This window comes from Homo sapiens, chromosome 2 (assembly GCF_000001405.40).
Source record: "Homo sapiens chromosome 2, GRCh38.p14 Primary Assembly".
NCBI lineage: Eukaryota > Metazoa > Chordata > Mammalia > Primates > Hominidae > Homo > Homo sapiens.
The window spans coordinates 33,248,174-33,261,672 of record NC_000002.12 but is presented as its reverse complement, the minus strand read 5'-3'; the positions used below and the strand labels follow the sequence as shown (position 1 = coordinate 33,261,672).

The 13,499-nt window shown below is 39.3% G+C and overlaps 1 protein-coding gene across 65 annotated transcripts in view; it reads right to left on the bottom strand.

The window, feature by feature from the left end:
* The window catches only part of LTBP1 (latent transforming growth factor beta binding protein 1), a 452,557-nt gene that overhangs the window by 137,837 nt on the left and 301,221 nt on the right, over positions 1-13,499 (bottom strand). For 34 of the 65 annotated variants that reach the window (XM_011532853.3, XM_011532857.3, XM_011532861.3 and 31 more), the window contains 3 exons: positions 8,829-8,996; positions 4,162-4,389; positions 2,063-2,085 (listed from right to left, as the gene is read on the bottom strand). In XM_011532853.3, the coding sequence (XP_011531155.1) occupies positions 2,063-2,085; positions 4,162-4,389; positions 8,829-8,996 (419 nt within the window). The remainder of the gene's footprint in view (positions 1-2,062; positions 2,086-4,161; positions 4,390-8,828; positions 8,997-13,499) is intronic. The other 31 variants (XM_011532859.3, XM_047444372.1, NM_001394905.1 and 28 more) reach the window with 2 other exon arrangements.

Genomic DNA, 13,499 nt, shown 5'->3' with positions numbered 1-13,499 from the left:
TGCCACAGTCATTAATCTGTCCCATCCAGGTTTAAAGTCACCTTTTAGTCCTCCCTCTTTCATTTTTCATTGCAAGCCCCGTCCATTGACACTTTTTTCTTAACAGTTGTTCACCCTTTTTCATATCCATAGATCCCACCACCCTAGGCCGGACTCACTCTCATTTTCAGTTTATTGTAATAATCTAACTGGCTTCCTCTTTCTTCTTAACTTGAGTAGACCTACCAAAATTCAGCTCCTACAAATACTGAGCACTTAATAGTTTTTCCCACATTTCCTCTGTCTTCTTAAAACTAGCTTTCTATTACTTACTAGAGATGACCTCAACCAGTCTCAATTGCACCCCATTCCCTGCAGCCATGGCCAATGCCAACAAGGAACAGACCAGGATCAGGTGTTAATCCACTACTGCAGTTTACAGAATTTCCCCCATCACCGTGAGGCAGCAGACTTCCTAATCTACACCACTTCTACATTTAACAAATACGGTCCAGTCGAGAAGCAGGGTATTTCCCCACTGATTACAATGGCAGTTTGGTACTCTAAGCCTTCCAAAGCAGTCCCTAATTCGGTTTCTGACCAAGTCTTTCATGACCCTTGCTGTCCCCTCTACCACACCTTTGCACATCTCTGGGTATCCTTTCTTTTCTTCATCCATCACATAACATCATGAGACTTTTTTAAGTACCAAGACAACAAAGGCTATGATTGCATTTTTCGTACTATCTCCTCCCCAAATAAAATGCAGTAAAAGTATACAAGAAAATTTTGGGGGTTTTTTAGATTTTTAATGAGAGTTATTAAATTCAATCATAAAGACAGAAGAACTGAGTCGTGATGAGGCTGCCAGGATGCTGGCTGGCCCACCTACAAGCTAAATAATTACTTCCATACATCAACCAGGACTAAATTCAAAATCAACAAAATTGCAAACTACTCGCTGTGACTGATCTTTAGAGATGCTAAGAGCTTCAAAAGTACACAAAAAGTATGCATATCTGTTATACATTTTTTGGTCTCAAAATACTATAACCTCTTTCTGGACGAGTGCTATCACTCCAAAATTGTAAGTCTCTTTTTCTTATTTCAGCACTTATGTTATGACATATATGTTACTCTATCCCATAATTATAAGATTTAGAATACTATTTAAAATAACTCATGTATGTATTGCCTCATCTAAATTCTAATAATGCATTCTTGTCAGCTTAAAGAATGGTACATAAATGTATAAATATTTAATAATTACCTAATTTTCATGTAATTATTATGCAGAAGGAGATAAAAAGAAAATTAAAGCCTGTTACATGCATTGAGATCCCATTTCAAAATGCAACGATAATTTAGTCTAGCAATATATCATAGTAGTTCTCTGACATAAAGTTCATTCATTTAATGAAAATGGATGTTTTTATTAAAGAAAGAAAGCCGGATTCAGAGAAGGAACAATATTACATAAATAGGACTTAGATCCAGTAAATGTTTACATTTCCTACTAAAATGTCTCACAATTCATAGCCCCCATCTATGCCCAAAAGCCAATAGACTGACTTTTCAAAAAGCAACATTCTAGTATTTGATTGTAACTTTTAAGTGTAAGTTCTGTTCTTACTCAAACTCAATTCAAACATGTATGTTAAATTTTAGTTGAACTAAGAAGTACTTCACTAACTATATATGTGCTCTAAGAATACATGATTATCTAAGCATGTCACAGCCTTTCTTTCACAGATGGTCCAGGCCATCAGGTGACATTGAATTCTATTTATGCCCTTGATTCCCATTAGTTTCCCATTTTCTTCTCACGAGAATTGAAGCTTCATGAAAGTAGAGATTTTTGTCCTATTTGTTCTCTATTGTTTTCCTAACACTGAGAAGAGTCCCAATCTATGACAATGGCTCAATAAATTTTTTTGGAATAACTGAATGCTATATTAACTCAAACCAAATGATGCATAATAGAGATGTTACTATATTTAAGTCTAAAAAATCCATACATATTCTAATAGAAAATCACTTTGAGCGTTGAAAAAAAAAGACTTGCAAGCAATGAATAAATTACCTTTTCAGGGGGTGCAGTTGCCACTAAAACCAGAAAAGAAAAAGGGTATTAGTACCATTTAAGACAATTCAGTCTATTATATTTCAATTCTTAAAAAACAATAGAAGTCCATTATCTCTGCAAAAGGATTAAGAATCAGACTAAAGCAAATGCAGAATTAGGATCATCTGCCATTTTAGGGAATTTTACACATGACTAACAGAGAACTCTCAGTGCTGTTACTCCTCAACTACTGGAGCACATGGAGAAGATGTGAACAAGTCTTTCAAACTCTTTCAGAATTAAAATTAAAAGAAGAAGGCAATACTTTCTGGTACAACATTTTATGCCTTATCTCAGTTATGTGGAACTTTCCATATGTTAGAAAACAAACATTTTCATTAATTGGTTAAAGGTTTATCCTTATGGTATATAATGTTTGAAATGCTTTCTGGTGTCAAGTGTTAAAAAAGAATGTCACTTATTTCAGTAAGAGACATGACAGCATGTGCTGCATTCTTGATGTATTCCAATCTTTAATGAAGCCCCGTGAATATTTTCAAAAAGATATGCTAACTAAATTACGAAAAAGAATCTCACAAGCCAGGAAGAGCCAATTAGAGATTAGCATCAATATACTGAACAAATTATACATTACACAATCATAAACGTTATTGTGAGGGTGTTGGTGATGCCTTTGTATTTTTAAAGACTTGCTTTTCATTAATCAGTCCTTCATATTAGTTCTAAAGCCCTGGATCAACATTCACCAGGATTTTTCTCATAAGTCAATCAATGTCTCCTGTAAAAACATTAGTTTACAGGTTGGGCAGGAGCATTAAATCCTGAAAGCAATCAGGGTACCAGACAAAGTAAAATCATTGCTGCAATATTCTTGGGGTTGGAGAAAGTCAATAACCTTCTATTCTGCCTAACCTACCACGAAGAAGGTCTTGAGGCAAAATCTGGAACTACGGCCCATTTCCTCCTGCCTGTGCAAACAATGAACAGTTGCAAACATCTGGTCATGATACTAAGTGTCCAGGGGCAAACTGATTAATACTGTTGATTCCAGCTGAGGTTTTGCCTGTTCTGCCTCACCAAGGAAGAAATGCAGTGAGTGAAAGCATAGAATCAAATAGGCCAGAACACACAAACGTTCAGAGCTCAGAAAAAAAGCCTGCCTCACCAAGAAGGCGGCTATGGCAAACTCCCAACACAACACTAGCCTGGGCACTCTATCTCCTCAACAGCACCCAAAAATGGCCCCCTGAATTCTGACCTCAGAATCAACTGTGAAAAGCCAACAGGAGCTTTATTAGAGAAAATACGTCTATTCCATACAAATCCAAAAGGTTTGTTCCTTCTGAGGTGAACATCTTTGTAAGCAAGATATGTGAAGTATTAGATATTGCTGGGTTTATATCAAGAGATAGGGATGACCCCACAGCCTGAATGCCAGAGAGAGAGTCAAAGTCCATTGTCTCTAGACTCCCTCTCAAGTATAAGCCTTAAACTATTTCCTTGGGAAAAGGTGCTCCGTGGTCACAGGTCCCATTACATGTTCTCTATATGACATCTGGCAAGTCATGTCCCCTCTCTAGGTCTCAGGTTTCTCAGAGGGTAAATGGAAGAACCACACTAGGTGATCACCAGATCTCTTCAACTGACAATCTCTTAGCTTCCTTCATTTCATCCTCCATTATCCTTGACTGCCCATTAGACCTTAATGCTTTAACTTTTTGAAAGTCTGTGGATTCCACTTCAGAAATAAATAGTTGTTAAATGGCCTTCTAGACAAGAAATGAAATTAGGGCTATTCCCTGAAGGATCTAAATTACTCTCCAGATATAAACGCCAAGATAAAGCAGCCCCCAAACATCAGGACAGCATTCTAAAATTAGCATGGAATATTGTTATCTACTAGGTACATATTATTCTATAGCAGTGGCTAAACATTTTACAATACACAGGGCAGCCCCCAATCAAATAATTCTCCACTCTAAAATGCCAATAGTGCTTAGGCTGAGAAACTCTGTTCTAGAGGGTTATAAACAGGGAAATCAAAGCAAAGACACACAGATAGATGTCTAGAGTCCATGATCCATTACCGCTCTCACCTTCTGGCTCCGCCACTCCTGGCCCGTGTTCCCGGGAGAAGGTCAGGGCCTCCACTGGCTCTTCCTTGGCTGGGAGAGGTGGAGGATGAGTACTTTTAGCAACAGGTTGAGTGTTCTTTGGCTTGACAAATACAGGTCCTTTACCTACATGGTGATGGATTGGCCTGCGTCTATGAACGCCAGAAACCGTATAACCCATTCCACCAGGACAGATTTCCTTAAAAGCAGCTAGATTTGGGATGGGAAAATATTCCTTTTAAAAATCTAACAGTGCAAACTTATACAGAGGAAAATATCATGATGAATAGCTCTTAATAAATCATCACTAATGTAGTTACATTTTAAAACTTCAAAAACAGGTGCAAAATGTAAGCAAATTGCTCGAATTTCTGATAAACTTGCATATTTAAAGAAAAAAATCCAACTTTTTTTTTACTAAACATTTTTCCATCTGTTAATTCCTTATCCTACCCAAATCAGAATATACATATTATATATAGCATATACTTAGCATATATTTTATATATCATATTATTTACATAGTCATTCCTCAGTATCCATGAGGGATTAGTTCTAGGATAACCCCTGTGGATATCAAAATCTGCAATGCTCAAGACCCTTACATAAAATTGCATAGTATGATCAGCCCTCCATATCCAGTTCTGCATCCACAGATTCAACCAACCAATTGGGTTGAATCCACTGATGCATAACCATGGATACAGAGGGTAACTATATATATATATATATATATATATATATATATATATATATATATATATATATAGTTAGCCCTCCATCCCATATATATCAGCAACCAATTAGAAAATACTATATATCATATTAGGTTATATATTAGGAGATATTTTATATATAGAAGACACTATATGTATTATATATCTCATGTTGCATGTATATGTCTTATCAGCAAAAATCAGGCTTTTTTTCCCGCTTTGATGTAATTTCATTAGTTATTAAAAAAGAACTCAGTGACATTTGTCTAAGTTAGATGAAGAGCCATAAGGTTAAAAAAAATCACTATTCAGGGAAATGAGATGCCGAAATCCTCACAGTTTGCTTCCAGTTGAAGAACACAAAGGGCTCCACCAAAATGCCATGTATCAGCTGGTTAAGAGGATGTAGATTACGGAGGACGGAAAAGGGGAAGTGTTTCTGAAGGGGAGAATCTCGGGATAGTGAGGAAGAGTCTAGAGAGTGAGACATGCTGGAGATGATAGGTAGAAATCAAGAAAGAAGGGAAATGCCAAATCAAGATGCAGCTATTTTCAAGTAAAGGAACAACAACTGGGCAAAAGCCTGGCCGTGACCAGCTCATTTAACTACCCAGAGGCCAAGGAGATATTCTGTGCCCTGGAATCAATCACTACCATTGCCAGAAAAAAAGTGGTTTTGTATTCTTTAAAAAAAAAAAAAAGTAGACTCAGCACATGTGATTTGCTAACCTCCACGGCATAATCCCCATGAATAGTGAAGGGGAAAGGCAAGGGGGAGAAGAAGGGTAAGGCAGTGTGTGGCCTTCAGAGGAAAAATCCACCTAATCCCTTTGGTGTTGGTGTTGGAGGCAAATTACCAAATGTAGACACCAAGGAGCTTATGGTTAACTTTTTTATTTCTACTTTTAAAATTGAATATAAAATAAGTCATTTCTCACTTTCACTGAACAAGAGATCTTCTATTGAATGTCTGGGACCTAAAATTAGTTCTCAAGAAAAAGGAAACTCTAAAAATACTGCTTATAGTATGCTAAAATACTGTTTTTCTAAGGATCACACACTAAATGGTAGAACCTCATTCTTATGTTTAACTAGGAAAAACAATTTTTACTTGGAAACATGTTTCCAGAAGAAAACATGACTTTAAAAACCAAGTTTACATTTTCTTAATCCAGTCTATCATTGTTGGACATTTGGGTTGGTTCCAAGTCTTTGCTACTGTGAATAATGCCGCAATAAACATACGTGTGCATGTGTCTTTATAGCAGCATGATTTATAGTCATTTGGGTATATATCCAGTAATGGGATGGCTGGGTCAAATGGTATTTCTAGTTCTAGATCCCTGAGGAATCGCCACACTGACTTCCACAATGGTTGAACTAGTTTACAGTCCCACCAACAGTGTAAGAGTGTTCCTATTTCTCCACATCCTCTCCAGCACCTGTTGTTTCCTGACTTTTTAATGATTGCCATTCTAACTGGTGTGAGATGGAATACTATGCAGCCATAAAAAATGATGAGTTCATGTCCTTTGTAGGGACATGGATGAAATTGGAAACCATCATTCTCAGTAAACTATCGCAAGAACAAAAAACCAAACACCACATATTCTCACTCATAGGTGGGAATTGAACAATGAGATCACATGGACACAGGAAGGGGAATATCACACTCTGGGGACTGTGGTGGGGTGGGGGGAGGGGGGAGGGATAGCACTGGGAGATATACCTAATGCTAGATGACGAGTTAGTGGGTGCAGCGCACCAGCATGGCACATGTATACATATGTAACTAACCTGCACAATGTGCACATGTACCCTAAAACTTAAAGTATAATAAAAAAAAATGCAGGAAACAACAGTGTTTGATATTAATAAATGTAATAGAAAATACAAAAAAAAAAAAAAAAAAAAAAAAAAAAAAACCAAACACCGCATGTTCTCACTCATAGGTGGGAATTGAACAATGAGAACACATGGACACAGGAAGGGGAACATCACACTCTGGGGACTGTTGTGGGGTGGGGGGAGGCGGGAGGGATAGCATTAGGAGATATACCTAATGTTAAATGACGAGTTAATGGGTGCAGCACACCAATATGGCACATGTATACATATGTAACCAACATGCATGCTGTGCACATGTACCCTAAAACTTAAAGTATAATAAAAACAAAAACAAAACCAGAAAAACAACAACAAACTCCCTAAAAAAAAAAAAAAAAAAACCAAGTTTAAAGAATTAACGAACTAAATATTTTTAGTGAAAATCACCATATAACCAAAACTTAAGTGCAAAAATTTTATCTTGAATATTATTTTCAAATTTATTGATAGTACTAGAGAGGAGTATCCCTGAGTTCCAGTCACCATCTCAATTTATGCTTCATGTAAGGATTATAAAGCTATCAAAATTGAGCTTCCACTTTTACCCCTGAACTTAAAAGCTAAACATTTAAAAAATTTAAAAAAATTAAAAACACATTATACAGACACAAAATAATACGCATAATAAATTCACAAACTGAAAGCTTTAAAAACTGAACTTCAAGAGAAACGTGTCTATAAATTATAAAGATTACTTGATTATTAATTTTTAATAATGAGTGGAACCATCCCTGTAATCCCAGCACTTTGGGAGGCTGAGGCCGGCAGACCACGAGGTCAGGAGATCAAGTAACACAGTCAAACTCCGTCTCTACTAAAAATACAAAAAGAAAATTAGCCAGGCGTGGTGGTGGGTGCCTGTAGTCCCAGCTACTTGGGAGGCTGAGGCAGGAGAATGGTGTGAACCTGGGAGGCGGAGCTTGCAGTGAGCCAAGATCACACAACTGCACTCCAGCCTGGGCAACAAAGCGAGACTCCATCTCAAAAAAAAAAAAAAAAAAAAAAAAAAGTGCATCAGATGGCACAAGAGCAAGAGCACAAGAGGGTACTAGGATCTTTTGGAGGCCTAAAATTATCTAGTCTACCAACATACCATCAATGTTGTATTATCCTTTGCCTTAACACAGTTCTTTCTGGTTCTAACCATGAACAAAGGTGAGTCATGATACTTATATTTAAATCTTGTCTGCTATGGTGTAAGTTACAGCTTTAAGACACTACATGGCCCTGTGAGAGTTAAGACACTTTCCTAGGTAGAAAGCATCTTATCAAACATGCAATTGAGTAGACTATTTAATGTCCACCCCAAGTAAGTGACATTGAAGCCATTCCTTGTTAATATCAGGTCTAACGCTTTCAGGTTACATTTCTTTCTCTTCCACTTAACTCTACTTGATCCTGCTTGAGAAGTTGGTGGTTCATTGGTAGAAGGTATTTAAAGAGATAAATTTGCCTTCTCAGGGCATAAGGCAATTATGTACCAAATTGAAGGATAAAGAATAATCTACTTCTTAATACTCAACTCCCACAGAAGTTTTCAGGAGTTTTGGCAAGTTCTGTCCTTAAGTTATTAATCTTCATAGCGTAAATTCAATCATGAATATAATTTCCTCCATTTCCAATTAAAGAAATTAAGCACGATACTCAATAAATGAGTAAATGAGTCAACTTGCACAAAGTCTAGTTACTGTGAATTGATGAGCAGCCAATCATTAGGAAAGCGCATGGCCCAGCAGAGCCTTCTGGTCTCTCTACACTTAAATATCAGACTCAGAGTCCTGGAAATTGAAGATAAAATATAATGGCTTTTCTTAATATTCAAAAGGAAGTCTGATATCACATAGAAATGGGAAAATCTCTTTGCACATAATTTTTTCCCACTGATTCAACATTGTATGTGTACAGTTTCTACAAAGGTGATTAAATATTTACAATGTATTATTAAAAATTAAAGTCAGAAACCACAAATGACCCAAGGTGCCAAAGTTGTCCCGTGTACTCATGTGGCTGGGAATCTATGTGCGCATACAGCTGGGCATGTCTTACCTGTGCCTGGAAGGGGACATTTCTCACAGTGTGGGCCCCAGGCCTTGCCCACACTACAACAGCAGAGCTGCTTGGTGAGGTGAACAGACAGAGGGTGCATACACTGTCTTCCAGAACTGACAAGTCGGTAACAGGGCCCTTTCTCTTCCGAGATCACAGGGGGATCAGCTGAAGCAGAGAGATAAAGCCCGACATTACATGAGAAACCAAAACTACATTGGCTTTCCAAATGATAGTAAAATGAACCCTAAGGTATGAATTAAAAACCACACTTCAGGATAAATCTGTCTAGATTTAGAGCATCACCTTTCTTGAAGAAAAATCAGTTTACCATGTGAGTTTTAGAGTCAGGGCACCAAAAGTCGTGACAGTGATTGTCCCTGTCCCTCTCTGGTCTCTTCTTCCATTTTAGCAAGCATGCAATTAGGTATGTGTGCGTAATGAAGAGAAACATTTCAACAAAAACCCACCTTTCCAAATAAACCTAGTCACCTACTGCCAAAATCACTACCTAGTTTTCTATATTTAACCACAGTAGAGATAACTCTAGGGCAGCATTTAGTGAATAATCAGGCACTTTGGAGAATGAGGAACATGGCTGATGCTGCAAGCCAGCCTCTGCTCTTCTCATCCCAGGGAAGTAAGAGCTTGCAGGGCCCATCAGGTCTCACCCTACGCCAGTGAACATGAATGGGAGGCAGAAAGTGGTTTCTGATTTCGAGTGCCACACAAGGCCCCTGTTCTAGCCAGACAGTACACCAGAGAAGGAAGAGATGATGTGCTCAGCTCTTCGGAAAACACTGCAAAAGTATACAAGGCTATAGCCATCCAATACCTAAACTTTAATCCTCATCTTCTGCTATACGTTTAGTAGATAAGAGTTCATCAACCTAACAGCTAAATACTCTGCTAGGCACACATGGCAAATATGAAAATCAGCAAAACACAGCCCTGCCTTCAAGAAGTTCATCTTCTAATGCAAATATGGATGGAGTGTATTCTACAGAACCAGGTCCAGGTCAGGCCAAAGGTGCTGAATAAGTTTGGTGTCCCCCCGCCGCCCATTCCCCAAACCCAACCAAAGCTCTTCTCTATCATATCACCATACAAATGAGGTTTTCTGACTTGCCTTTCCCTTACCCAATTCCTCTAGCATCTTTTTTTTTTTTTTTTTTTTTTTGAGACTGAGTCTCACTCTGTTGCCGAGGCCGGAGTGCAGTGGCGCGATCTCAGCTCACTGCAAGCTCCACCTCCCGGGTTCACGCCATTCTCCTGCCTCAGCCTCCTGAGTAGGTGGGACTACAGGCACCCACTACCACACCCGGCTAATTTTGTTCTTTGAATTTTTAGTAGAGACAGGGTTTCACCGTGTTAGCCAGGATGTTCTCGATCTCCTGACCTTGTGATCCGCACGCCTCGGCCTCCCAAAGTGCTGGGATTACAGGCGTGAGCCACCGTGCGCCCAGCCTCCTCTAGCATCTCTTTTAGGGGAGGACTTCCTGAAGATGTTATCTGTGGTGCTGTTTGGGTGGGGCACTTTGGCTTTGATTCTGGCCACATGCAGTAGTGTAGTCTCCATAAGATTTCTTCAGTTGTAAATAGCATCAGTGGTGTCTCTGATTCTTCAGTGCCTTAGGATGCAGTTGTTAGTAGATTCTGTGCAAAATTTTGCCGAGGATGAGGCTACCAGGTGGGCCAGTCCTCAGCCCCAGTAGTAGCAGAGGTGGGCCAAATGTGTTTGTCTTTGGGCCCGAGGGCAGCGTACACTGGCATTGGTGTTAGTGGGTCCAAGTGGGCCAATTCTTGGGTCTCTACGTGGCTTGCTTAGGTGCCAGCAGTGATAGCAGTTAGCCAGGCAGGTTCTCAGGCTCCTGGGCAGTGGGTGTAGCATAGGTGATGGCAGCAGCAGTGGTGAGACAACCCTCTGCTTCTCACGCAGTCCATGCTGGTGTTAGCAGCTGGGCAGGCCAGTCCCCAGGCCCACAGGTGGTATATACAGGTGAGTGCCAGCTGTGATGGTAGTGGTACGTTGGGTGGGCCTGACCTGAGGCCTCTGAGAGGAGTGCTCAGGTGCCAATGGTGGTGGTACCTGCTTAAGACTCAGAAGGTGTGTGTGGGACCCAGCATGCATGAGCTCCCTCTCGGCAGCAATTCCATCACGAGGTCTCTAGGCAGCTCCCTATGTTAAGTCTCAGAGTCTGTGAGGGCCGAAGGGCTCTCCTGTGGCTAGGATTGCAGGAATTCACATGGGAATGTGGATCACTGGAGGTCTCTCATCTACCCTTTCCTCACACTGGGGAGCCTCCCCAGGCTCCCAGCTAATCCTGGCTGAGCAGGCTCCCTTGGTTCCCTCTCCTTCCCTGCCTTAGGTGTTTCCTGTGACTTCTCTGTTAAACCTCAGTGTTCTCTGTTAGATGATCTGTTCAAAGTGTGATTATCTACTTGATATTTTGGTTCTTCTTTGTGGAGGGGGTGAGCACCAGATGCCTCTAGTCAACCATCTTAAAGCCTCTCCCAAACCGAAATTTTACTGATGCTTTCATGATTCACATTTTCTTTAATCTACAACTATTTGAAGCCAAAACTGTTCATTTATGCCACATATACCTGACAGGGTGTGCCATTTAAAACTGCCCCTATTTTACGACCTAAATTGCCTGTTGTTCTTTTTGTCATTTCAAATGACTTGCATTCTGTTTATTAAACATCTCTAGTATTTTCACACTCCGGTCAATATGATGCGTAAACCCAGAAACAATATGCTACCCAGAATGATGTGATTGGTGTTGTTATTGTCTGAATATCTTTAACCTCAGACTGGAAGATTAATTGTAAAGGATAACACATTAGTGTACTACGTTTATTATTTAAAATATGGTACATGTGATTATATATTCTACTGAGTCATAAGGTTTTATGCTGTACTAAAGAAAACTAGAAATACCAAAAGATTTCTAAGGGATAGGGGAAGCAGCTGTAGAATCGAATAAAACTGAGGAGTGATAATAAAGGGTGCCTGTAGGCTCTTACATGTTTGTACACTGAAACAGTACTTTGTCAGATCCTATTTTGTGCAGGATGTGTTACTAAAATTACGGCAAAAAGATTCTGATACTTTATCTAAAAGGAAAAGCACTTCAGAAGCATAAAACCTACTGAAAATGCCACATCCACCAGGAAAGTAATTTTTTTGCTCTTGGCTACAGACATAAGACAAATTTTCAAACTGGTAACAAGCATATAGCTCTGTACCCAAGTATAGTACCAAATCATAACCATACAGCCCATGGTGATGGCAATTCAATTACAAAACAAGAGTAAAAAGCTAAGATACTATTATTCGGGTTCCTCAGTGATATATTAAGCAACTTATATTTAATTATGGCCTTAATTATAGGATTGTATAATAAACTCACATTATACTTTCAAAGACATACTACTCTAATGTATTAACCCATTTATGCTGGAGGTTGTAAATGTGTGTGTGTGTGTGTGTGTGTGTGTGTGTGTGTGTGTGTGTGAAAAATCAGACCTACTGAGATGACCTTGAGCAGGATATAAATAACTCCCACAAGCTCAGCATTCCAATAATGGAACACCAGGCATAAATGGGTTAAAATGTGAATGACAAATATTAAGCAGATATTAATTAATCTGGTACTTAGAAGAAGTTGAAAAGTAGGGAGGATTTCAGAAAAGAGCAAGGGTTTAAAAGTCTAGCTAACCTTACTAGTCTGCAATCACTCCCACCCACATCTGTAATATCCTTAATCATTTCTTGGATGAAATTCCACATTAGCATTTAATCCCTTTACAGCTTAGTATCTATGGGGATGAGTGTTAGGATACAGGTCTAGGAAGCAGGTAAAGCTGCTTTGAGGAGTCTGAGAGGCAGCTTACCTAGGGCAGTAAGAACCACTGGGCACTCTGGGAAATGTGTCATTAAAAACCATTTCATGGCTGGGCGCGGTGGCTCATGCCTGTAATCCCACCACTTTGGGAGGCAGAGGTGGGCGGATCACGTGAGGTTAGGAGTTCGAGACCAGCCTGGCCAACATGGTGAAACCCCATCTCTACTAAAAATACAAAAATTAGCCGGGTGTGGTGGCGCACGCCTGTAATCCCAGCTACTCAGGAGGCTGAGGCAGAAGAATCACTTGAACCCAGGAGGCGGAAGTTGCAGTAAGCTGAGATTGCACCACTGCACTCCAGCCTGGGCAGCAGATCAAGACTCCCTCTCAAAAAAAAAAAAAAAAAATTCGTGGAGAACCAAAATAAAAGAAACAATAATTCAAGGCCATTGCAGTTACGTCACCTATTCTATAGTGTGGCAGGTGAGATTAAAATGTCAGTTCTCCTTAAATAAATGACTTACTCCTCCTGGCATTTCAGACTTTTCCATTTCTTGATTAAAGGTTCAGCTTGTGGAGTGAGACAGATCCAGTTTCAAATCTGGGCTCTACCCTTTATGGACTGTATGACTGTTGGAAAGATCCCTAACCCCTCTATGCCTTAATTCCTTCATTTCTAAATTAGGAAAAATAACAGAACAAATCCAATAGAGATCTTGTAAGTATTATATGGGATAATTCACATAAAGTGCTTAGCACAGTGCCTGGCATTTACGAAGTTTGCAATAAAAATTATTATTGTCATGGTTTTTGTTTACTG